We start from the raw sequence: 25,575 nt of genomic DNA, 5'->3' as shown, positions 1-25,575 counted from the left end.
CCTTCCTCCCTCTCTCCCTCCCTCCCTTCCTTCCTTCCTTCTTTCTTTGAGAGTCTCACTCTGTTGCCCAAGCTGGAGTGCAGTGGTGCTATCGCAGCTCACTATGGTCTTGAATTTCTGTGTTCAAGTGATCCTCCCACGTAGCTGGGACTACAGGTGTGCACTACGACGCCCAGCTAATTTTTAAATCGTTACTAGAGATGGGGGTCTCACTATGTTGCCCAGCCTGGTCTTGAACTCCTAGGCTCAAGCAATCCCCTCACCTAGGCCTCCCAAAGTGCTGGGATTACAGGTGTGAGCCACTACGCCCAGCCTAACTTTTTGGAAAACTATACCCAAGCCACTAGTTTTTCAAGGTTAGTTATTACCTTCAAATGACGCTTAACTGACATTTCTGACCATCTAAATGAACTTAATTGAAAAAAAAAAAAAAATCAAGGGCTGTATGAATTGACTCTCCAAAAACTTAACTACTCATAGCATACTGGTTGACTGAAAGCCTTACTGGTAACAGTTGAACACGTATTTTGTATATGTATTACATACCATATTATTACAATAAAGTAAGCTAGAGGAAAGAAAATGTTATGAAGAAAATCATAAGGAAGATAAAATTAATGAATTTACTATTTATTAAGTGGAAGCGGATCACCATAAAGGTCTTCATCCTTATCATCTTCCCATTGAGTAGATGGAGGGTTGGTCCTGCTGTCTCAGTAATGGCAGAGCCAGAAGCAAACTCACATACAGGTGGACATGTGCAGTTCAGCCCTGTGTTGTTCAAGGGTCAGCTGTACAGTCAAGGTTATCCTTCTCTAAATTACATGGAGATGACGTTTTATCAAGGCTTTTCTCATCTGTTCAATTCTCACCTTCTCAGCATGAAAACAGAATGCCCAGCAGGTGGTCCTCATGACCCCTCAAAGAGAGGTTCCCCCAAGCAATCATGATTCAAATATTTTCATCTTAAGTAGCTTGAACGTTAGCCTTGTCACCCAGGTGAATTTAGTCTCATGATTAGGTAACTATGTATTTCATATGTTCATAGTCTATCTTGAGCTTTAAAAGAGATTTATGGCATCATATTCACAGCTACGAAGGTTCATAATTTTGGGGCCACTTCTACAGTCATTTCATACAATTTATTTGTGAAATATAGAAAAAAACTATTCAATAATCAAATCCAGTTATTTTTCTTTTACATTTATTTAAAATGATTAAAAATAGTTTATGACAGTTTTAGAAAATGGAATGGATTAAAGGCTAAAAATGTTTAGATTCCATTTAAGTAGGTGTGTGTGTGTGTGTGTGTGTAACTAAAAACACAGGTTTTTTCACAAGAATTTAATTAAGCTCATGCTGAAACTCTTATAGGGAAAATAGTAATTGAGCATCAGACATCACCACTCCTGAAAAAAACCTTCTACAAGAATTGAAAAGTGTTGCAGGACCTAATACTGAAATAGGAAATATGGACTATCTTCAAACTGCACAAATGATGCATGAATCCACATTTGAGACCCGCAACTCCGAGGTACCTAATGTGAATGATTAAAGATATTTTACAAACCGGGGAGCCCTTTCAAGTGCTTTCCACTTTCAACCTTCTCTCTTTGAAGACCCCAATTCATAATGGTGAGCATAAAACATGCATACTGGGAATTTTTATGGGCCCCATATATACATTCCAGACTGTACATGAATGTCTTGATCTTTGGTTCTGATATTTATGGCAAAGTCTAAATGTTATATGAACATTAACCTTAGTTTACTCAAACTATACCAATATGCCCAAACCATCCTTTTTTCTCTCCCCACAAGTATTTCTAAAAGAGAAGCAAAAAGCTAGTATACTTCTTGGATGCCTAAGGATTTAAGACTTCCTACCCTGATGAATAGAAAAAGTATAAACCAAGGAATGCAATGTTGGTGCCTTAGGAACTAGCACTTACAGAGTATCAAAGACTAAAAATACTACAAAAAGGCTCAACGCCTGATAATCACTATTTCTGTCTCCTATGCGCCAAAACATATCACAACCATATGATTTCCTAGGAAAAAGCATCCCAAGATTTCCCCCAGATGGTTTTAACATCAGTCATTTTGCACTTAACATTTCAAAATGCAGCCTTATTTTCTTCAGGTAATAATAATTTTATGTGCAGATATCTCAAAGCTGAAAGGATGATCAAACCCTGCTTGTGGGTGTCAGAAATAATGCATCCCCACTTCATTCGCAATAATGAATGCTCAATGATTTTTTCATATCACTGAAGAATTTAGCACAGGTCCAGCATCTTTGGAACCTCAACAATATTCTTCATCTCCCAGAAGCTGATAACATCCCCTCCCCACCAAGATATTCTACCTCCCTACTGCTCACCGCTTTGTGCCATCAACATGGTTAAGCGTGTGTGTGTTATTGCACCATGAGGTAGCTGAAGATCTCACAACAGAGAGCCACAGTCTCTTTGTGCAAATGAATAGCCAAACCAACATTGCAAGCAATCCTTTTTTAGAACGCAGGGTCTAGCTGCCTAACTTATCTTTATAACCACATCACATTCAATGAGTTGGGAATGCTTAGTGAGGCAGCTCATGTACTTTACACAGAAGAAAACACACTTTAGGTCATCAAATTGTGTCAAGAATAAAAGGAAATCTCCACAACAGTGATAAACACGGTTCTTGTTTTAGTTGTTTTTCTCAAAGTAATCAGGGGATCTTAACATCTTCAGACATTTTCTGGTTCTGAAAGGAAGATTAGAAACAAATGTCATTGTGGGGGCAAAAAAAAAAGTCTTATTAAACAGAGAAAAAGAAAACCAAGATCCAATTCTATGCTGTTACAAGAGACTCTTGCTCTAGATTTAGGAGAAGGAAGATTAGAACAGAAAAAAATGAAGCAGAAATGAAGTTGCACATCTTAAATATATACAATGTTTGTCTATCATACTTTAATAAAGCTAGAAGAATGAAAAATCTATTTTAAAAAAAAGAAAACCAAGATCAGACTATGTGCTGTCTACATGACACCTGCTTTACATTCGGCAGAAGGAGATAGATTAGAACAAATAAATGATGCAGAAATGAAGTTGTACATCTTAAATATATACAATGTTTATTTGTCAACTATACCTCAATAAAGCAGGAAAAATTAAAAATAGAAAATATTTAAAAACTGTTAAAATCATATCTGGAAACAAATATTCGTTTTGAAAACATTGTTTTTGACATTTTGCCATTTGTTAAGGATTTTGATGATCTTAAATGAATTGAGTAACTTCCTTTTTGGTTAAAACTAATATTTGTAGGAACTTCTTTTTTCGAATATGGCCTTGTTGGTCTTTATAACTTCTGAAGTGATGTTGTCATTTGCTCCACTTTATAAAATAAAAGCAAAGTATGATTCTTAAAAGTCCACATCAAGTGACAGACATCTGCTTCTATCTGTGTAGCTCTGTTACTACAACTCTTTCTCTACAAAGTGTGCAAGCTTCAGTGTATGGCCTCAGCAGGTACACAGTTCCACAGGTTGTGCACTGCACCACATCACCATGGATATGGTTAGTATACCATGTACGTCATCCTTTAGGAGACAGAGAAAATTAATGACCTAACTAAGGAGAGGTGGACAGCTGGGTACCATTAGCAGCAGCCTGGAACTTTAGAGTCAAGTTCGCAGAGCTCTGAGCCCCATTTGATACCAAACCCATACGTATTTGCTGTCATGCACATATTTCCTAGATAGTATAAAGGCTTTACAGCCAGCGAGGTGATATAGGCCCAGGATCCACATAAATGTCACTGCTCACCCTTGAAGAGATCTCCCTAACATCAGCTCACTCTGTCTACATCCTCCTTTCTGATCTCAGGAACTTTAAGGGAGGGGAAGATAAACTTGGTGCTTGGGAATACCTGGTGAGGGTATCATCGAAGTACAATGGAGAAAGTAGACAAAAATACTTACCAGGCAGCCAAAAGGCATGAAAGAGCTTCAAGACATTATACCTCTTTAGCAAAAACGTGCTTCCTTCCACCTCAGATAAATGGGGCAGGCATCATCCACGTTTTTAAAACTACACCTATTTCAGAAACTCAACTGGCCCCCATTCCAATGATTTTCCTTCTAAAATATTGCACTAAAATATATTTGCCTTGATTATTGAGTTTGTGGGGGACCCCTGTACCCCGCCCTTACATTTTGTGCTTGTGGAGATGGGTGCCTCTCTCTGCTTACTCAGTTTCAGCCCTTGGTTAACAAAGGCTTACAAATCACTGCCACAAAAGCTACTGAAGTTAACACGTGGTGTTCGTTAATGATGGCTGCCATGTTGGGTGAAAGAGTGTTGTCACTGAACCCAAGAATCTGCTCTCAGGTTGCCAGGAAAATAAGGCAGTTTTTCAGAAACTCAGTTTCCTCCTAAAATTTCAGGACGGGGCGTAATGTAGACGGAGGCTCACCCCAAACGGAGGTTCATTAGCTAACGGTTGATACTGCCCATTCACCAGCAGAGGGAGCGCATGGGAAGGTTTTAGGATTTTTGAGGCCAAATGCAAATCCTAAAGCAAACACCGTAGGAATGGGCACCCCTTTCTGGTTTCCTTCGGGGACACAAAGAAGGTATGAGTTAGAGGGCCCTGGGCAAACTCCAGACAGATTCTGACGTGGGTGGCCTGAGGTTTAAACCAAGCCTCCAGAGACACCCAGTTAAAGATCTGAGTCACTCTTTAGGCTATAAAACAATCCCTGACTGTTGTTTCAGAGATTTCTTTAGGGCATCCTCTGCTCTCAAATCCCAAGTGATTCTTCAAACCCAGGAGTGTGGAGCCGGCATTGAACCAGGAAGCCACAGCAGATCTTTCCTCTCCCCTATGGTCTGAGCGCACCTTCGGAATTTCAGAGAGGCTTATAATTCAGTGTTTCGGTAGTTTTCTTTGCGGGTGGGGTTCTGGGCAAAACATTCACATTCAACCCAGGTATTTTTCCTGACTCGCCTGTGACGAAAATTTCACTGAATACAAAACAGAACAGGTAGTTAAACCAACCGTCATGCTTATAGTCTTGCAATGTAGGTTGGTAATTTTTGTTTGTTTGTTTCTTTTTCTTTCCTTTTTTTCTCCTCCTCTTTTACATTAGACAGATAATGTGCCAGCCTCATTGTAACAAGGTTTAGAGGAAGGTACAGCTCACACCTGACCATGAAAACCCAATTGTTGGCCAGGCACGGTGGCTCACGCCTGTAATCTCAGAACTTTGGGAGGCCAAGGCGGGCAGCTCACTTGAGGTCAGGAGTTCAAGACCAGCCTGGCCAACATGGTGAAACCCCATCTCTACTAAAAATACAAAAATTAGCCAGGCGTGGTGGTGCATGCCTGTAGTCCCAGCTGTTCGGGAGGCTGAGGCAAGAGAATCTCTTGAACCCAGGAGGTAGAGGTTGCAGTGAGCCGAGGTCCTGCCACTGCAGTCCAGCCTGGGCAACACAGTGTAACTCTGTCTCAAAAAGAATAAAAATAAATTTTAAAAAATCACATTATTAGGCAAGTTATGTATATTGAACTTAACCAGAAATAACCTTGCTAGTGACAGACATCTGAAAGTAATTTTTTTTTTTAAATCAGGCTTAGTAACAAGCAAAACAATGTTTAGAGCCAAACTTACCATGGGTCCTGAAACAATTTCTCCTATTGTTTAGTTTGAAATAACTGGCTGCTGCTCCCAGCAGTGTCACCACCACCACGGATACGATGGGAGACACGATTTTTGCTACCATATTGCCTGCAGGAGTGGAGAAAAAGCAAGCTCATCCGAGAAAAAAACATGGCTGCAGGAAAACTGCTTAAATATTAGGTTGGTCCAAAAGTTATTGCGGTTTTTGCCATTGAAAGTAATGACAAAAACTGCAATAACTTTTGCATCTATCTAGTAACTTCTCCATCACGTCCCTTCCCACCCTTGTATTCACAGAAAAAAAAGAGAAACTTAATTTAAAAAAAAAGAAAAAAAAACCTTAGGAAGTAATTCTGTTTTCACAAAGAGCCAAGCTTGTCAACCACATTTTACCACTGAAGACATCCAAGGCCAGGATTTGCACAGACGAGGCACTTGGCATTTTTGTTTGTTTGTTGAAGTCAATTCATGTATGCCTTTTAATTAATTTTATTTATTTATTTATTTATTTATTTCTTATTATTTTTTGAGACGGAATGTTGCTCTGTCGCCCAGTCTGGAATACAGTGGCGTGATCTCAGTTCACTGCAACCTCCTTCTCCCGGGTTCAAGCGATTCTCCTGCCTCAGCCTCCCGAATAGCTGGGACTACAGGTGTATGCCACCATGCCCAACTAATTTTTGCATTTTTAGTAGAGATGGGGTTTCACCATGTTGGCCAGGCTGGTCTCGAACTCTTGACCTCAGGTGATCCACTCGCCTCAGCCTCCCAAAGTGTTGGGATTACAGAGGGGAGCCACCGCGCCTGGCCTGATTTATTTTTTTAGAGATGGGGTCTCACTATGCCGCCTAAGCTCGTCCTGAACTCCTGGGCTCAAGTGATCCTCCTGCCTCCGCCTCCTGAGTAGTTGGGATGACAGGCACATGTCAAAACTATTTTGTGCCTTTTTAGATGTAGAATGCCCACTCATGCAAAAATATTGTTCCACTAAAAACTGCCAGATAGGCTTGCTTTCAAAGGCATGCTGGAACTCTAGACCCAAGCACACACTAGACACAAGCATCCTCAATGCCTCGATGGCAAATTGCTCCAGAGCTTTGGCACTCCTGCACAAAGAACAAGAAGGAGCTTGATGTGACAAAAATCAACACTTCCAAAGGGAAAAAAGGAAGAAATCACCGTTTCCATTTGAAATAGCCACCCTTTCCATGCATGGCTTTCTTCAGACAGGGTTGAACACCTGGGCCAATACATGGCATGGCATAGGTGAGGGACACAAGACTGCTCCACGAATGAGGCTGCCATGCTGGGGGGAAGAGTGTTGTCACTGAACGCAAGAACCTGCTCTACGGCTGATGCTGCCGCCCGCCACACCCTGCCTCCTGGGAGAGACAGCCCTCTATTCTTCCCCTCCCTACATGAACACGCTCCACAGTATGATTTCACAGTGTTCCCCATCCAGAGGTGGAGCTGCATCTTCATTCTGAAAATCCAGGCTTTAGCCAACAGAATGTCACACAAGTGAAGGCATGGTGGCTCTAAGCCCAGGCACGCTTCTCTTCATGCTCTTGGTACCCTGTCTGGTCACCATGTGATGAAGCCTGGCCTGGCTTCCTGGAGGGATGTGAGAGCCCACATGAAGCTGAGATGAGCCATTCCACCTAAAGTCCCAGATACATAAGAAGACCCAGGAAACATGGTCAAAGCGCTGGCCACACCTACAGTTGACTGCACACAAGAGAGGGAGTTCAGAAGAGACCAGGAGGACCACTAGAATGGTGTCAGCCCAAATTGCTGACTCACATAATCACGAACATAATAAATGGTTGTTATTTCCAGCTACTAAGTTTTGGGGTTTTTTGTGACACAGCATAGCTGACTGATACATACCTTTTCCTCTCTCTCATCTCTTACAAATCAATCAAGTACAATCAATTGTCATTACCAAGTGGTCATCCAAGCTGACTGCTTCTCTTTGCCTCCTTTGCCCAGGCTTTAATTCAGCCTGTCATCATTTCCAGGGAGTACTGAACTGGTCTGAAAGGGTGTCTCCCTGGGTCTTAGTGAGCCCCCTCAGGTCCATTCTTCACCTACATATCAACAGGGGCAGGCTCCTTCCCATGAAGGTTCTATGAAGTGCAGACTCCACCTCTGCTAACCTGGAGGTCTTTCCTGGTCACCATTGCATCCTTCCCTGGTTCCCGTTGCATTCCACATCCTGGCTACACAATTTCCGGTGTCCCCACGTGTGTATCCAGCTCTACCTAGTGCACCATCTTCCCTGACACCTCACTCTTCTCCTGGGCACCTCCCACCCATATTTTGGGGGATTGGCTTGGATATTGTTCTCTCCAGGAAACCCTACCTCCCTCACCTAACCTAGTCTAGGAGTATCCCTTCTGCCTTGCTACAGGATCCCATATGTTCCAGGAAATTATTCATCAGATTTGACTGCAATTACTTGTTTATTTGCCTTGCCCTTTCCATCTCTGGACCTCACTTTACACCACAGAGGGAAAAAGGTGAAACCATAAATTTTTCTAAGGATGCCAACATACCCCAAAAATATTGATACTAGTACTCTGCATGATCATTGAAAGGTAGAGGTCACCTTCAATCACTTTCTCCTCCCCCATAATTGAAAACTCACAAGAGCCTTGGGGTTGAGTGCGTTTACTCTCAACTTAAACTCAAGCAGGTGTCAGCCCAAATCTCTAAGAATATGACCCTTAGGGAATGGGGAACCTGTTCTCCCAACAATACAGGACACAAAGTCAGCCTTCTGGGCTTCAAGTTCTCCCTCCTTTGACCTGAGACGGGATTGACAGTGCACTCTGATGGCTTCTTTGGGCAGAGTGTTCATACCTTCCTTTCTCCTGTCCTTCTTGGGTTTCAAGTTAGTGCTGGTCAAAGAAAGGGGAGTAATGGTGGTACTGGGAGAAATGTAATAGTCTCAGCACTCATTCACAGCCTTGCTTTGAGAGCTAAGGGGCATCTTCTGCAGTGAAAACCAATGCTTGCCTCTCCTTTCTCTGAACTCTGATTGGTCCTGTGCTGAAGGTCAGATATTTTTATTCAGGAGCTACTTTATATACATACAAAGTATGAGTGCTCCGTGAAAGTCATGAGGTTGGGAAACAGAAGCCCACACAGCTCCTCCCAGCACTGATCTAGGAGAGTGTGCTCTTATTAAAGGTTGGGACCGGGTGAGTCAATCAGTTACCTTCTGGATTGCCATACGTTGAATGGTGATCTCCACCTGTAAGCGGAAAAGGATGTTCGTGTTTATTCAGCAGAGCTTATGGAGGGCCTTATATTGCCGGGCACTGTTGAGGATGCGACTGTGAACACAGCACACAGATCCCTGTTTTCAGGGAATTTACATTCTTGTGGGGGGAGGGGGACAGCCAAGCAGCATAAGGAGGAGGAATGTGAATGTGTATGCCATGTCTAATGGTCATTAGCAGAATGGGGATAATACCAGGGAGAGGGAGATGCAGCTTTAATTTCAGGATTGGAGAGTCTACATACATGCGCATGCAAAACACACACAGGCTGACAACCCCATGGACACACATGCACACACGCACGCCATTCATACACAAGCACATGCAACACACACTGACATGCACAAATGTGTGTGCACATGCATACACACATGCAGCATGCAACAAACGTGCAACACACAGGCAGACAAGCACGCATACACACGTGCACACACACATGCATTTACACACATGTGCAACATGTAAATACAAATGCAACACAGAAGCACAATGCAATGTGCACATCCACACACATGCACATCCCACACATCCCCACATACACACACATGCACATACCACACACACAGGCAACAAAAGCACATATAAAGCACAATTCGCCTAAACATACACATGTACACATGTGTGCACATGCACACACCGATGTGTGCACATGTTTACACCTGTATGCATAAACACATGCATGTACACACAAATATGCACACACAAACACATTCATGTGTGTGTGTGCATGCCTGTACACACGCATGTATACACACAATCCACATGCACAGATGCACATGATATATTCGTGCAGTATGCACATACCACACGAGCACACCCAGATGCACACTCCTGCATCTATCCACATGCACACATGTGCTTGCACACCCCTAAATGTATGCATGTGAATGGACACACATGGGAAACATGCAATGCACATGCAACCCAAGCACAAGCATGCACACATGCAAAATCCACAAGTACATGCCAACACATCTGTGCACATACACAAACATGCATGTGCTCAATCCACATGTGTGCACAGACACTTGCACACATGCACATGAAATCCACATGCACTTATGCACATGATTACAAAATCCACATGCACATGTACACATGCATGCACACACAATACACACAAGCATACCTGTGTGTGAACACATATGTATACACACACACGTGCACACACATGCACCCAGTAACACCTGTAAGTGGGCCATAGTTCCTTTGAAGAAATGAAGTCCTCAGGGCATGCACAACATCTCCCCCCAGCATGGATGACCAAGGAAAATGCAAATGAGAGACTCGAACGGCCAGTTGGTTGTGCACTGGATGAAAGCATCAGCTTCCCATCAGTGCAGACAGTGTGTTAGTTATTTGCAAATGGACAGTTTTGCCTCACATATTCTGTAAGACATAATTCCTTTACCATAAGTATTTCCATAACGAGAGTTGAGTCTATAGCCCCCTCTTCCTGCAGGATAGAAAAGAGACCATGAAATGCTAGATATTGCTCAGGAAGTCTGCATGATCTTACAGAAGCAAGCAGGTCAGCAAACCTGAAGCAAGATGCTCTTAAAAGCTGCAGAGATTCCAATGCTCTCCCAAGGCCAGGGAAGGTGCACAGGCGCCATCTGGCCCCTGTTTACTGTTTACACCGGTGGCTGAAGGTGCATTAGATGTACATCCCTGAGGGTCTGGAGGCCTGACATAGATGGGCAAAGGTGTTTTCTTCGGCATAAAAAAAAATGCCAGCAAATGTTGGTTAAAAAAAAAGAGAATAGGATGAAAACGCAGGCCACAAATAGTAATTTATTTAAAATTTTAAAAAAAAAGAGTTCCTCCAGGTTGGGTGTGGTGGCTCCCACCTGTAATCCTACCACTTTGGGAGGCTAAGGCGGTAAGACCACTTGAGCTCATTTGGAGCCCAGCCTGAGAAACATAGTGAGACCCCGTTTCTACTTAAAAAAAAAAAATAGCTGGGTGTGGTGATGTGCACCTGTAGTCTCAGCTACTACTTGGGAGACGACTGAGGCAAAAGATTGCTTGAGCCCAGGAGGTGGAGGCTGCAATGATCTATGATCACGTCCCTGCACTCCAGGCTGGGCTACAGAGTGAGATTTTGTCTCAGAAAAACAGCAAAAAAAGTTTTTCTATATTTTTCTAATGTGTTAAGAGCAATTTTTAAAAATACAGATTTGAGATTTTTAAAACTAATGCTTTGTGCTGATTTTGAAGTGGAATGACTTATGTGGATAGTGGGTTCTATGGGCTGAACTATATCCCCCTCCAAATTCACAGGTCGCAGTCCTAACCCCCAGGGCATCAGACTGTGACTGTATTTGAACACAACGTCCTTAGAGAGGTGATTAAAATAAAACGAGATCACTAGGGTGGGCCCTAATCCAATAGGACTACAGACCTTATAAGAAGAGGAGATGAGGACACAGACACACACAGAGGGACGACCCTGTGAGGACACAGGGAGAAGATGGTGTCTACAAGCCAAGGAGGGAGGCCTCAGGAGGAACCAGCCCTGCTCACACCTTGATCTTGGACCTCCAGCCTCTAGGACGGTGAGAGAATCAATGTCTGCTGTTTCTAAGCCACCCAGTCTATAGTATTCTGTGATAGCAGCCTGAAATGGACTAAGACACCTCATAAGGAGAGGAGATTGGAACACAGACACACACAGAGGGACGACCCTGTGAGGACACAGGGAGATGATGATGTCGACGAGCCAAGGAGAGAGGCTTCAGGAGGAACCAGCCCTGCTCACACCTTGATCTCAGACTTCCAGCCTCCAGGACTGTGGGAGAAGAAATCCCTTTTGCTTCAGCCCTCCTGACTCTTGTAATTTACAATGGCAGCCTTAGCAGACAAGGGAAACTTGTCCCCCAGTATTTAAAAACGACGAGCGCAACATTTTCTCCCCAGTCTCCGCAGGGAGGCCAGACTTTGGGCTTCCCTCCGCGGCCAGCCACGGTCAGCCCTCACCCCTCAGTGCTCTGCATGAAGCCAGAACAAGCCTAACACGCTCTGCCTCCTTTGGGGATTCGGGGAGAAGCCGCGTGACTCATCCCATGGCGGCGGCTTGCATCCCAGCCGGCACCTCCATGCTGATGCTAATCCGAGCGCTGACTCACAGCCTCGCTCTGCCGGGGCTGGAGAGCAGGGGTCCAGGCAGGAAGGGGAGCACAGGCATCCTCGAAAACAAGCGTCATGCTCCCAAAACTGGGCTGTGCCTCATGCACGCCTGATGTTCTTGGCCCAGCTGCTGCTTCCACCGGGCCCTGGCCCTGCCAAGGACCACAGGGCTACCTGCTATTTTCTGGCAGTTTTGCCCCAGGGATACAGCAGCCCCCTGACCAGTAAGCTTTGATCCATTCGGGAGCCAGATAATGGTCCCCCAAAAATGGCACAGCGCAGACCTCCCGAGACTAACTTCACAGGAAAACAGGAAACGATCAGGGCTCTCAGGGGAGCCGCTTGCTGAATCACTTCTTTCTACCTGATGAGTATGCCAGAGAACAAAAGAACGTGTCCCGAATAGCTCCTTACAGAGAGCAGTTTCAGAGAATCGTGCATGGGGTGAAAAGGCTCATTCGTAGGCTGTAGGGGTGTGGGGACGGCTCGCTTTATATAACACGCTCCAAGGTGGGCCGGATGTGGTGGTGCAGGCCTGTAATCCCAGCACTTATGGAGGCCAAGGTAGGAGGATCGCTTGAGCCCAGTTCAAGACCAGCCTGGGCAACGTGGCGAAACCACCTTTGCAAAAATTGTAACTGAGGAAATGATGACAGTGAAAGAGGCCAGACCTAACCGACTCTATCTTGCTTCTAACCCTTAAGCTGTCCTTGTTCATTCCTGGGCATAGGCCCAACTAACTTTGGGAAGGAATTCAGTTCATGGTTTCACTCTGAAACAAAACTGATCACAGCCTTTTCCTGAAAACACCTCCTTCTTGCCTGGGGACCAGTTGGACTTTGTAGGACTAACAAATTAGCTACAAGATTAAAAATTATAGTTTAGGGCTGGGCGCAGTGGCTCAAGCCTATAATCCCAGCACTTTGGGAGGCCGATGAGGGTGGATCGCCTCAGGTCAGGAGTTCGAGACCGGCCGGAACAATATGGTGAAACCCCGTCTCTGGTAAAAATATGAAAATTAGCCGGGCATGGTGACATGTGCCCGTAGTCCCAGTTACTGGGGAGGCTGAGGCAGGAGAATTGCTTGAACCAGGGAGGCAGAGGATGCAGTGAGCCGAGATCACACCACTGCACTCAAGCCTGGGCAACAGAGTGATACTCTGTCTCGAAAAAAACAAAAAAAGAAGAAAAGAAAAGAAAAATTATGGTTTAGGGGTCGTGCAGCCTCTGGCTCAAGAGTCTGAACCTCTGCAAATTGCTCCTGGGGGTAACATCACTATTGTAAAACGTAAGCGCGGTGTTTGAGACATTTTGCAGCCTCTGCACTGGATGGATCAGCTGACACCAGCCAGCCCGGTAATCTGGCTCAACCAGTTCCGCCATCCACCCAGGAACAGAAAACAGCAAGAAAACCTCACTTCACCCCCCTATGGTTCCCTCTGCAACCTGACCAATCAGCCCTCCCCACTTCCCAAGCCCCTACCCGCCAAATTATCTTTAAAAACTCTGGACCCTGAATGCCTGGGGAGACTGATTTGAGTAATAATAAAACTCTGGTCTCGGGCACAGCTGGCTCTGCATGAATTACTCTTTCTCCATTACAATTCCTCTGTCTTGATAAATCGGCCCTGTTTAGGCAGGGGGCAAGGTAAACCCATTGGGCAGTTACAACGGTGAGACCCCATCTCTACAAAAAATTTCTTAAAAATTTAGCTGGGTATGATGGTGTGTGCCTGTAGCCCCAGCTCCTCGGGAGGCTGAGGTGGGAGGATCGCTTGAGCCCAGGAGTTTGAGGCTGCAGTGAGCTATGATTGCACCACTGCACTCCAGCCTGGGCAACAGAGTGAGACTCTGTCTCTAAATAAATAAATAATAAAACAATAAAAAACTACTCCCAGTGGCTTTCTGTAAAAATATTAAATTTGGTCTTTGCCTGACATTTTCAGTTAAATTGAAACCGCCTTTGCAAAAATTATAACAGTGAGAAAATTACGACAGTGAAAGAGATCTGACCTAACCGACTGCATCGTGCCTGTAGCCCTCGAACAGCCCTAGTTCATTCCTGAACACAGACTCAGATAACCATAGGAGGAAGTTCCAGCTTAACATTCAAACAAAGATAACAGCCCTTTTCTGAAACAAACTCCCTTCTTCCCCGGGGATCAGACTGCCTTTGAAAGACTAACAAATTAGTCACAAGATTAGAAATTATATTAATAGGTTAGGAGCCATGCAGCCGGAGGCCACAAGATTCCAAACCTCTTCAGTTGCTCCTAGGGATGGCATCACTATTGTAAAACCTAAGGTTGAAGTTGAGACATTTTTTAAACCCTTCATTGAGATGCACCAGCCGGCGCCACCCAGACTGGTAATGCGGCTCAGCGAGCTCTGCCGTCCCACACAAGAACAGAAGACAACAAAAAGAACCCATGTCCGTCCTCTGTCATTCCACCTCCAACCAACCACTCAGCACTCCCCACGCCCGGGTCTCCTACCAGCCAAATTACACGTTAAAAAGCCCAGTGTCCAAATTTTGGGGGAAGCTGATTTGAGTCATAAAACTCCAGTCTTGGCTAGGTGCAGTGGCTCATGCCCGTAATCCCAGCTCTTTGGGAGGCTGAGGTCGGAGAAACACTTGAGGCCAGGAGTTGAAGACCAGCCTGAGCAATATAGTGAGACCCCATCTCTACAAAAATTTTTTAAAAATTAGGCAGGTGTGGTGGCATACACCTGTGGTCCTAGCTACACAGGAGGCTGAGGCGGGAGGATCGCTTGAGCCCAAGAGGTTGAGGCTGCAGTGAGCTATGATTTCACCACTGCAGTCCAGCCTGGGTAACAAAATGAAACCCTGTTTAAAGAAAAAAAAGCAAAACCTCCAGTTGATATAGGAGTTAAGAAGGAATTAGTTAATTACTTAGGCACATAGCAAGGGTATGGGAGTCCTTGGTAAGGCTTTTCTTTTTAATGAAAAGCAGCCCCAAATCATTTTCTAACAAAGAGCAGCCTGTAAAGTTGAGCTGTGGCCGGGCGCGGTGGCTCACGCCTGTAATCCCAGCACTTTGGGAGGCCGAGGCGGGCGGATCACGAGGTCAGGAGATCGAGATCATCCTGGCTAACACGGTGAAACCCCGTCTCTACTAAAAATAGAAAAAATTGCCAGGCGTGGTGGCGGGCGCCTGTAGTCCCAGCTACTCGGGAGGCTGAGGCAGGAGAATGGCGTGAACCCGGGAGGCGGAGCTTGCAGTGAGCCGAGATGACGCCACTGCACTCCAGCCTGGGCGACAGAGCGAGACTCCGTCTCAAAAAAAAATAAAAAATAAAAAATAAAGTTGAGCTGCAGACATAGACAAGCCAGCTAGGAGCTTACATGGGTGAATGCCGGCAGGAACTAGGGCCTAGACACGTTCAAGATGGCAGCTTCATCTTCCCTCCTCTTTGTCAGCCCCATGTACAGTAAGTAGCAGACAAGATGGCACTGACCAACTGGAAAGCCCATTTACATAACAAAATTAGGGTGGGGCCACCAGCCTTCCCCACGCACTATGTAGAAGTCATACCTGATCGAACCAGTCTGTAAGCCCTATGTAAATCAGACACCACCTCCTCCAGCCTGCCTACAAAAGCTGCTGCGGTCCACAACCTCCCAACTTTTTCAGATGCTTCTCTTTCTCTCTCTCTCTTTCTCTCTCTCCCTCTCTCTCTTGCAAGGAGCTGCTCTCCTCTCTCCTTTCTTCTATTAAACTTTCAACTCCTTAACCCAACCACATGTGTCTGTGTCCTGAATTCTTTCTCAGCGTGCAACAATGAACCCCAGGTATGTACCCCAGACAGCATAGCTGCTTCACATGCTCCCGTTCAGTCAGCTCTGTGTGAATTAAACTCTTTCTCTATTGCGATTCCCGTCTTAATAAATCAGGTCTACCTAGGTAGTAGGTAAGGGGAACCCCTTAGCTAGTTCCAGAAAGATGGTGGAAGGAACTCATCTCATAGTACGTTGAGTTGAAGGTGGTCAATTCTTTTTTAGTGTCCTTTTTTTTTTTTTTTTTTTTTTTGAGACAGGGTCTCACTCCATGGCCCAGGCTGGAAGGTAGTGGTGCTATCACGGTTCACTGCAGCCTCAAACTTCCAGGGTCACTTACACCTCCCGAGTAGCTGGGACCACAGGCGCACACTTCCATGCCCAGCTAATTTTTGTATTTTCTTGTAGAGACAGGGTTTCACTATTTTGCCCAGGCTGGTCTTGAACTCCTGAACTCAAGGGATCCACCCACCTTGGCCTCCTAAAGTGCTGGGATTACAGGCGTGGGCCACCATGCCCGGCCAAAAGTAGACAGTTCTTGACCCCAGGTAATGAGCACTTTGTCATGAGCCCCCTCCCATCCTGAAGCTTGTCTGTGTCATAGGGAGTGAGTTCTGAGGATGGGCTACCTATAGGGCCACAGCTATTGCTCCTTTGAAGTGGACAGTCGAGCGTCATGCATTGCTTTCATTTTGTTAAATGGATCTGATGACAACACTCGCTTCCGAGGTAACGAAGATGACGGACATCAAAATATTTTACTCCAAAATATATTGCTTTGCCTTATTTTGAAATTGCCGCTCCAGGGCCAGCAGACTGAGGTGGGGAAATTGGCATCTGTAGAGGATCTTTGCTGTTGCAGCCAGGCCTTCCCTTTCTAAGCTTTTCCTGGATGTAGGAGAGAGAAACGGAGACTCTGACACCTTTACAGGTCTGAAAAGAAACATTTACCATGGTCGTCTCTGAGCGCTGCTACCTGGGAACCTTCATCTGCATAACAAGGACCCCCTTGCTAAGCAGGCCTCTTCCTGTCTCCCTCTCATCACCTGGCTTGCCACCCGTTAAACCTGCTTTACCAACGTCACCTATTTGGGGCCATGCTCTGAGCCCACATTCTTCCTGCAAAGAACAACAAATAGCAAACTCAAATAGTAAAGACATGGAATCAGCCTAGGTTCCCATCAATGGTAGACTGGATAAGGGAAATGTGGCCCATATACAATGTGGCCCATATACACAGCCATAAAAAAGAACAAGATCATGTCCTTTGCAGCAACATGGATCGAGCTGGTGGCCATTCTCCTGAGCAAACTAATGCAGGAACAGAAAACCAAATACCATGTGTTCTCATTTACAAGTGGGAGCTAAACACGGAGTACGCATTGTGAAAGGAAATTAAATTTTGTGATCCTGAACTCATTTAGTCAAAGGGAAAAGTCAAGCTGGGAACTGGGTCACACAAACCTGCCTCCCCCTTTTGGTTCCTAAATAAAATGGCTACAAGATGAAAAGCTACACGTCTCCCCCATATTTTGCCCACAAGGAAAATCCTAGTGAGCTGTGAAGATTTCACCATGACAATATGCAAATCGACAGCTTTGCAGTCACCCCCGCCCAGCAGACACAAATCATATGTGATTGCTCCCCTGCCCCATTTTGTCCAGATTATCTTATGCAACATGCAGATTCCCTGCATTTTCCCTCTGCCCCATTTGTCTATGCCATCTTATGTAAAAAAACACAGATTCACTGAGCCAGACAAAAGCATGAATAACTCTTTTTCCCTACCCCCACCCTTTCCCCTTTAAATTTGCAGCCTTCAAAATCATCTTCGGAGAAGGCCACAGACCTGTCTCCTGGGGCGCGCCCTTAACCTTAACTTTGGCAAATAAATCTTTTACGCTCGTCTCGTCATTTTTCTCGATTGACAACATGGACACAAAGAAGGGAACACCAGACACCAGGGCCTACTTGAGGGCAGAGGGTGGGAGTAGAGTGAGGATGGAAAAACTACCTATCAGGTACTATGCTTATTGCCTGGGTGATGACATAATGTGTACACCAAACCCCGGTGACAAACAATTTACCTATGTAACAACCCTACACAAGGACCCCTGAACCTAACATCAAAGTTAAAAAAGATGGTCTATAAGCTTTTGCATCCCATTGGTGGTTGAGTCTTGGTTCTGAAGGTTTGCGTGTATATCCACTCAATAAATTTATACGCTTTTTCTCCTGTTAATTAAGCTGCCTCATGTCAGTGATTCAGAGAAAACTTAGGGGGCCAACAGCCTTGGCTCTCACAAAGCCTAATGAGACCATATCTTAAAAAAAAAAAAAGAAAGAAAAAGAAAAAAAAGTACTTCCCACATTACCAGAGCTCTTGGCACATATTAGTTTTAACCAAAAAGATGGTTACTCAAGGCCGGGCATGGTGGCTCACGTCTGTAATCCCAGCACTATGGGAGGCTGAAGAGGGCGGATCACCTGAGGTCAGGAGTTCAAGACCAGCCTGACCAACAAGGTGAAACCCCATCTGTACTAAAAATACAAAAATTAGCCAGGTGTAGTGGCTCATGCCTGTAATCCCAGCACTTTGGGAGGCTGAGGCAGATGGATCACCTGAGGTCAAGAGTTCAAGACCAATCTGACCAACATGGTGAAACCCTGTCTCTACTAAAAAAACAAAAATTAGCCCTGTGTAGTGGCACATGCTTGTAATCCCAGCTACTTGGGAGGCTGAGGCAGGAGAATCACTTGAACCCGGGAGGCCAAGGTTGCAGTGAGCAGAGATCACACCACTGCACTCCAGCCTGGGCAACAAGTGAAACTCTGTCTCAAAAAAAAAAAAAAAAAAAAGAAAAGATGGTTACTCAATTCATTGAAGGTGTACAAAACTCTTAACAAAGGGAAAATGTTAAAACGGAGATGATGGTTTAAAATCAACCTACAGAGTGTTTTGTTATTGTTTTCTTTCTCAGTGATGACATTTTGCTTCAGTCGTTTTCCAAACCGGAGAGGATCTGAGGGTTTCAAGGTCCCCTGGTCTCCATGAGAAAAACTCAACCAAGCCAAGAGCCTGTTTATGGCTTCTGTAGAACACGGCTTTCACTCTGGGCATAAGCACCGACCAAAAGAGTTCTCTTGCTTTTTTTCTTTTCTTTTCTTTTCTTTTTCTTTGAGACAGGATCTCAGTCTGTCACCCAAGCTGGAGTGCAGTGGCACGATCTTATCTCTGTCTGCTCACTGAAGCCTCGACCTCCTGGGCTCAAGTGATCCTCCTACCTCTGCCTCCTGAGTAGCTGGAACTACAGGCACATGCCACCACGCCTGGCTAATTTTTGCATATATGTATTTTTTGTAGAGACAGGGTTTTTCCATGTTGTCCAGGCTGGTCTCAAACTCCTGGGCTCAAGCAATCCTCCCACCTCAGCCTCCCAAAGTGCTGGGATTACAGGCATGAGCCACCGCGCCCAGCCATTGAAAGTGTTTTCTATTCTGCTTGAAGTAAGCGAGCTGCGCCCCTAAAGAATTTGTTGGATGCTCTCCAGTTTGTTGGATGCTCTCTTTCTCTAATTAGTTGTATAGTTCTTTGCTCTGTTTACTTTTACCTAAAGGGGTGTGTGTGTGTGTGTGTGTGTGCATGTGTGTATGCGTGTGTGTATGTGTGGCTGCACCCACCCTCCTGGGGAACAGAAGCAGAACAGCCCAGCACAGACAGGTTCTCAGAAGACCAGGCACCAGCACACAGCACCCTACTCACCAAAGACTCCAGGTAGAAGGCCCAGGGCAGAGTGCAAGCGGGAGCCCTAGAAAGATGACCCCTCCCACCCTCCACCCACCATCGCATGCCCAGATGTAGGGGTACCGTGCGTGTTGTCGGAGTTGCCATAACTGGAGTAGCCACCGCCGCCACCTCCTGTTAGACAGAGAAGGTAGAGTTGAGGGATGTTCAGGTGTCTGAGCGTGGGGTTTCCTGCAGGTGTTGGTCTGTCCAGCTCATTGGGAATGGCAACAAGTCGTGTGAACGTGTCACTGCCAAGAGAGCTCCAAAGAGTGACCAGCAGGGGAGAGTCAAGGGTGGCCCCACCAAAGCTTCCTCTTCCCCGTGGGAAAACTCATGCCAACACTGAGCTCTAGCTATCAAAAACACTTTGCCGTCACGGGACTAACATTTACCCTGGGGACTCCAAATTCACGCAGGCGCACCCGCTTCCTGCCGAGAAACTGATATGAGATCAGCCACGCCGACGCCGGATTAGGAGGACCTTCCAGCAGATGGTCTCAATCGTAAATGTTCTCAGCTTCTCCTTTCAAAAATAACTAGTAATTTTTAGTTTATTCCTGATTGTTATTGTAATAAATCCTAAGACAGCGCTCTTTATTTATTGCAAGTAAACACGGCAGAAAAGATGACTGGATGCAATCTGGTTGTCCGAAAGATGCAGGTCCAGCTTTGCAAAATATCTGGGACAAGTCCTTTATGTCTTCTAAAATAAAATTGCAGAACTAAACAGGCCAGAAACCTCACATGCTTGAAAATAAAGCCTCAAACATCACACTCTTCAGCCCAATGTTGTATGCATCTCTGTCTCCTATAGTCTGTACTTGTATTTCTATATGAAAGATTATTGATAGACATTCACCTCCAATTACAGAGAAAACTTTATATTAGAAGTGTTTATATATGTCTGTGTGTATAAAGATAAATGTACATATATAAAGGTGTATATATATATACACACACACACACACACACATATACCTAAATGTATATACATATATACATGAAGGGACCTATATACACATATATAAAACAGTATGCATACATATGTAAAGGTATACACCTATATATAACAGTATAGAAACATATGTAAGCTATATATGCATATATATGGAAAGACATTTACAAATATGTGTTTATACAAATAATGCATATATACACATAAAATATATATTTATATAAGATATTTATACATATATAAAGGTTATGTATAGATATATAAATATATTTATGAAGATATTTATACACATAAAGACATATACATATGCATATATAAAAGTGTATATATAAATGTACACATACATATATAAAAGCATATATAGGTATATATGTACATATAAAGATATATAAATAAAGGTATATAATTATATATGTATAAATGTATATATTTATATAACATACATAAAATATAAAAATGTATATAAAATGTACATGTATATAAAGATATATTAAAGATATATATAAAGATACATTAGAAGATATACATATAGACCAGGTACAGTGGCTCACGCCTGTAATCCCAACGCTTTGAGAGGCTGAGGCAGGTGGATCACGAGGTCAGGAGTTCAGGACCAGCCTGGCCAAAATGGTGAAACCCCGTCTCTACTAAAAATACAAAAGTTAGCCAGGCGTGCTGGCAGGCGCCTGTAATCCCAGCTACTCAGGAGGCTGAGGCAGAACATCACTTGAACCCGGGAGGCAGAGGTTGCAGTGAGCCAAAATTGTGCCACTGCTCTCCAGCCTGGGCGACAGAGCGAGACTCCGTCTCAAAAAAAAATAAATAAATACAAAAGATATGTATATACATATTTAAAGACATTTATATACCTATATAAAGATATATACACATGTATATATAAAGTTGTGTGTACATACATAACACATATAAAAGTATATACACATAAAGGTATATGTGTACGTATATAAAGGCATTTATACACACATATAAAGATATACACATATGTATATATAAAAGTGTATATATAAATATATACATATATAAATAAAGGCACATACATGTAAAGGTATATATGTACATATATAAAGATGTATATAAATAAAGGCATATATTTAATTATATATGTAAAGATATATATTTATATAACATACACATAAAATATTAAAATGTATATAAAATGTATATGTATTTAAAGATATACATGAAGATATATTTTTAAAAAGATATATTAAACGATATACATATACATAAATATATATAAAAAGCATATATCTGCATATAAATATAAAGATATATATACACATATAAAACATGTACCTATGTAAAGATATATATAAGGATATATATAAAGTCAGGATATACATATATAAAAACAGAGAAAGGTATCCACGTACTGTATATATACAAAAGCATGTATATACACACATGAAAAAAACCATATACCTACATATGTAGATGCATTTATATATATTTAAAAGCATATATACACACAAATATAAAGATACATAAACATCTATATACACACAAATGAAGATTGATAAGCATGCAGATATATAAAGGTGTGTCTGGACATGTACACCCACACTTACACATATACAAGTCTAAACAGAAATGACCGCAAGTGTTTCAGTGGACCCTCCAGTTCTGCCTGTTCATTTTGTTTCCATCCAGTCCCCCAGCCTGGAGAGGCGGACAGATGCCCAGACCGCAAACCCCACTGATGCGGCCATGGGGCCTTCTCTGTCATCCCCTGCACCAGCTTATCGTCTGCTCGTCACCAACTCTGCCCCAACCTCAGCTCTCTCATCCCCAACTTCAGGCCTCTCATCCCACCCTCTCTGTGCAAATTCAATGTGTCGCATCTGGGGAGGCTCGGCACCTACCTGCAGGCGGCCGTGGCCTGGGCCTGGGCGGGTAGCGTCCGTCATCACGGTCCACATCATTGAAGTAACCTGTGGGGCAGAGCACGCGGCATTGCTCATGAGACCTCTCCAAAGGTCCCCTTCACACCAGGTCTGCGCTGGGGGCACTGGCACAGGTTTTGGAGAAGAGCGTTCCGACGCCAACTGGCTCTTTGCAGGACGCCCACAGGCACCAGGAATTAAATTACCTTGTGGGCTGGCCGCCTTGCCTGCAAGGAGGCGTGTGCAGGGCCCAGAACGTCTGCAGTGTGGCCTCATATTGCTGATGTTTGCCCCTCTTCTGCTCAAAGCCCTCCCAGGGCCAACCGTGAGCTGGGGTGAAGCTCAGGCTGTCGTGTCTGCCTGCTGCCTGGATCCCTCTCTCAGGGTGCCCCATCTCCAAATCCCCTGCCCTTCCCTCCTTCCCTGGATGTTCCCCGTTGCTCCTGCCTCTGGACCTTTGCATGCCCCTTTCCCTCTGCTTCCTCCTGGCCGTCCTTCCTGGATGAGCCAACATCACCTCTCACCATGTCCTCGTCCAGCTCTCCTTCTGCCCCACCTCCCACCTAGGCCCATCCCCTGCTCAGAATCCTCCAACATCATCTCATGTCCTGCCCCTCCCTAGTCCTTAAGCAAGCCCGGAAGGAGACTCCAGGCTTTTCCTTCTCTCCAGATGGCTCCTCTTGCCCCATCAACCAGGCACCTCCCCCAGGCTTCTCCATCACCATAGGCATGCTCCTAACCCCAGCCCTCACGTTGGCAGTGGCCGATTCCCCAGGGAGAATTCCAGCTTCTCAGGTCCCCACGATCCACTCTCCTTTTCTCTTTCAAGTTCCTGCTCAACTATCTTGTCTGAAACCAGCACCATCCCCCTGTCTCTCTCTTGGCTCCCCAGAGCACAGCCGCTACCCACCCCAACAGATTTGTTTCATCCATTCATTCCTGCTCCTTACTGCCCTGACACATGAGACCCACCTGCTTCCTCCCAAAAAACAAAGAGGCACCTGCAAGGCAGAGAAGATCCCAGAGCCCTGAGAATCCACGCTGAGAGAGCTTTCTCAATAACCCAAGGCTGCTTTGCAAGCCTCATTTCCTAAGATGTCCTTTGCTGCTCTGACAAAGTTCCGACTGCTGCGTTCACCTGTGCCTCTGCCCTCTGATGGTGTCTGTCATAGACTGAGCTACTTCAGGCTCAAACGAGATCCAAGGAGACCTTCCTTCTGTGGTTCCTGGACCCCGAATTAACCCTTGGAGTCTGCCTTTCCTCTCCAAGATTGGTCTATAGATAAGTAATTAGGTCTTTGGTCTCGATCTATAAGAAATCCATGCTAATGTGCACCATTGTCACTCTAGGGGGTAGGAAACATGCTGATTGAGTTTATTAAACGTGTGAAATGCAAGCCGGGTGCAACCCAGCACTTTGGGAGGTGGAGGCGGGAGGATTGCTTGAGGCCAGGAGTTGGAGACCAGTCTGGGCAACATAGTGAGACCCCCTGTCTCTACAAAAAAATACAAAAAATTATCTGGGCTTGGTGGTGTGCGCCTGTAGTCCCATCTGCCAGGAGGATCACTTGAGCCCAGGAACTGGAGGCTGCAGTTAGCTATGATCACACCACTGCATTCCAGCCTGAGTGACACAGAGAGACCCTGTTTCAAAAAAAAAACAAGTATAAAATACAAAAGGCAGAGTGGTTGTTCTGCTTTGCTTTAACATGGACCATTCCCTCAGCACAGACTCTCCAGAGCTTTGGGACTGCCGGTAAGTGAGTGCCCCTAACCTGATCCCGCAGTTGCATACATCTGTGAAGCTGAAGTCGAGGTAGCATGCACAGAGGCTCTGGGGAGTTCAAGAGTCATTGCACTTGGCTTAAGAGGCTGTTTCCTAGGGCTGGGCTCAGTGGCTCACATCTGTAATCCCAGCACTTTGAGAGGTCAAGGCAGGAGGGTCACTTAAGGCCAGGAGTTTGTGACCAGCCTGGGCAACAGAGGGAAACCCTGTCCCAACACACACACATACACACACACACACACACACACACAAAGAAAAAGAAAAAGAAAGAAAAAGAAAAAGAAAAAAGAAAAAATTAGCCAGGTGGAGTGCTGTGTGTCTGTAGTCCCAGCTATTCAGGAGGCTAAAGTCGGAGGATTGCTTGAGCCCAGGAGGTGGAGGCTGCAGTGAGCTGTGATCCCGCCACTGCATTTCAGCCTAGGCAACCAAGCAAGTCCCTGACTCAAAGAAAAAATAATAAAAAAGGGATGTTTCCTAAAACAGCTTTTTTATTTTTACTGTTTTTGAGATGGAGTCTCGTTCTGTCACCCAGGCTGGAGTGCAATGGCATGATCTCGGCTCACTGCAACTCCAACTGAACTCCGCCTCCCAGGTTCAAGTGATTCTCCTGCCTCAGCCTCTCAAGTAGTTGTGATTACAGGTACATGCCACCATGCCTGGCTAATTTTTGTATTTTAATGGAGATGGGGTTTCACCATGTTGGCCAGGCTGGTCTCGAACTCCTGACCTCAAGTGGTCTTCCCACTTCGGCCTCCCAAAGTGCTGGGATTACCTGAATGAGCCACCACGCCTGGCCTCTAAAACAGCTTTGAACAGGGAACCTCTGACATAAAGATCCCTTGTTCATGTCTTGGTGGACGAATGCTATGAATCACAAGACCAGAGCCTTTTGAGGAGGAAGAACTATTGTAGAGCTTTCCAGGAAATGGAGTTGAAGCTATACACCCTGATGAAGGGATGTAGCGGTAAGTCTTTCATTCATGAATCCAGCTGTTTGCCTGTTGGGACTCAAGCATTAATGACTTCACTGACCTTCACCTAGGACTCATTGTGTGCCAGGCACAGCTTTCCAGACTAGGGAATGCAGCAGTGAATGAAAGGCAAAAATCCATGCCCATGTAGAGTTCTCATTCTAATTCACAGGAATCAACTAAACACAATTGCACGGTGTTGCATGTAAGAACATATCAAGCAGTATGGAGTACGGGAATGCAGAGGGAGGAACCACCTCCTGGGGGAACATAGTCTAGGATACAA

General features: G+C 44.8%; 1 protein-coding gene across 6 annotated transcripts in view, besides 8 other annotated features; it reads right to left on the bottom strand.

The window, feature by feature from the left end:
- XG (Xg glycoprotein (Xg blood group)) overlaps positions 615-25,575 on the bottom strand; it is a 64,461-nt gene continuing 39,500 nt past the window's right edge. For 3 of the 6 annotated variants that reach the window (XM_005274587.5, NM_001141919.2, XM_017029787.3), the window contains 6 exons: positions 22,512-22,580; positions 19,755-19,805; positions 10,370-10,414; positions 8,895-8,930; positions 5,663-5,779; positions 615-2,751 (listed from right to left, as the gene is read on the bottom strand). In XM_005274587.5, the coding sequence (XP_005274644.1) occupies positions 2,735-2,751; positions 5,663-5,779; positions 8,895-8,930; positions 10,370-10,414; positions 19,755-19,805; positions 22,512-22,580 (335 nt within the window). In that variant the 3' untranslated portion in view covers positions 615-2,734. The remainder of the gene's footprint in view (positions 2,752-5,662; positions 5,780-8,894; positions 8,931-10,369; positions 10,415-19,754; positions 19,806-22,511; positions 22,581-25,575) is intronic. The other 3 variants (NM_001141920.2, NM_175569.3, XM_011545575.4) reach the window with 2 other exon arrangements.
- Positions 11,512-12,711: an enhancer, noted in NCBI's record as "CDK7 strongly-dependent group 2 enhancer chrX:2722445-2723644 (GRCh37/hg19 assembly coordinates)". NCBI's record gives its function as "activates an origin of replication core promoter dependent on BRD2, BRD4, P300/CBP, MED14 and CDK7 cofactors, with strong dependence on CDK7, by STARR-seq in HCT116 cells {active_cell/tissue: HCT116}" and the evidence as "EXISTENCE:reporter gene assay evidence [ECO:0000049][PMID:35650434]".
- Positions 11,512-13,268: a biological region, named in NCBI's record as "CDK7 strongly-dependent group 2 enhancer GRCh37_chrX:2722445-2723644".
- Positions 11,938-12,603: an enhancer, noted in NCBI's record as "OCT4-NANOG-H3K27ac-H3K4me1 hESC enhancer chrX:2722553-2723218 (GRCh37/hg19 assembly coordinates)". NCBI's record gives its function as "activates a minimal SCP1, AML or CMV promoter by ChIP-STARR-seq in naive and primed H9 embryonic stem cells {active_cell/tissue: H9 hESC(naive and primed)}" and the evidence as "EXISTENCE:reporter gene assay evidence [ECO:0000049][PMID:30033119]".
- Positions 12,604-13,268: an enhancer, noted in NCBI's record as "OCT4-NANOG-H3K27ac-H3K4me1 hESC enhancer chrX:2721888-2722552 (GRCh37/hg19 assembly coordinates)". NCBI's record gives its function as "activates a minimal SCP1, AML or CMV promoter by ChIP-STARR-seq in primed H9 embryonic stem cells {active_cell/tissue: H9 hESC(primed)}" and the evidence as "EXISTENCE:reporter gene assay evidence [ECO:0000049][PMID:30033119]".
- Positions 13,269-13,934: an enhancer, noted in NCBI's record as "OCT4-NANOG-H3K27ac-H3K4me1 hESC enhancer chrX:2721222-2721887 (GRCh37/hg19 assembly coordinates)". NCBI's record gives its function as "activates a minimal SCP1, AML or CMV promoter by ChIP-STARR-seq in primed H9 embryonic stem cells {active_cell/tissue: H9 hESC(primed)}" and the evidence as "EXISTENCE:reporter gene assay evidence [ECO:0000049][PMID:30033119]".
- Positions 15,916-16,857: an enhancer, noted in NCBI's record as "OCT4-NANOG-H3K27ac-H3K4me1 hESC enhancer chrX:2718299-2719240 (GRCh37/hg19 assembly coordinates)". NCBI's record gives its function as "activates a minimal SCP1, AML or CMV promoter by ChIP-STARR-seq in primed H9 embryonic stem cells {active_cell/tissue: H9 hESC(primed)}" and the evidence as "EXISTENCE:reporter gene assay evidence [ECO:0000049][PMID:30033119]".
- Positions 16,858-17,800: an enhancer, noted in NCBI's record as "OCT4-NANOG-H3K27ac-H3K4me1 hESC enhancer chrX:2717356-2718298 (GRCh37/hg19 assembly coordinates)". NCBI's record gives its function as "activates a minimal SCP1, AML or CMV promoter by ChIP-STARR-seq in naive and primed H9 embryonic stem cells {active_cell/tissue: H9 hESC(naive and primed)}" and the evidence as "EXISTENCE:reporter gene assay evidence [ECO:0000049][PMID:30033119]".
- Positions 22,618-23,206: an enhancer, noted in NCBI's record as "H3K27ac-H3K4me1 hESC enhancer chrX:2711950-2712538 (GRCh37/hg19 assembly coordinates)". NCBI's record gives its function as "activates a minimal SCP1, AML or CMV promoter by ChIP-STARR-seq in naive H9 embryonic stem cells {active_cell/tissue: H9 hESC(naive)}" and the evidence as "EXISTENCE:reporter gene assay evidence [ECO:0000049][PMID:30033119]".

The sequence above is a fragment of the Homo sapiens genome, chromosome X, assembly GCF_000001405.40.
Source record: "Homo sapiens chromosome X, GRCh38.p14 Primary Assembly".
Taxonomy (NCBI): domain Eukaryota; kingdom Metazoa; phylum Chordata; class Mammalia; order Primates; family Hominidae; genus Homo; species Homo sapiens.
The sequence above is the reverse complement of the archived record's forward strand: the minus strand, read 5'-3'. Positions and strand labels throughout refer to the sequence as shown.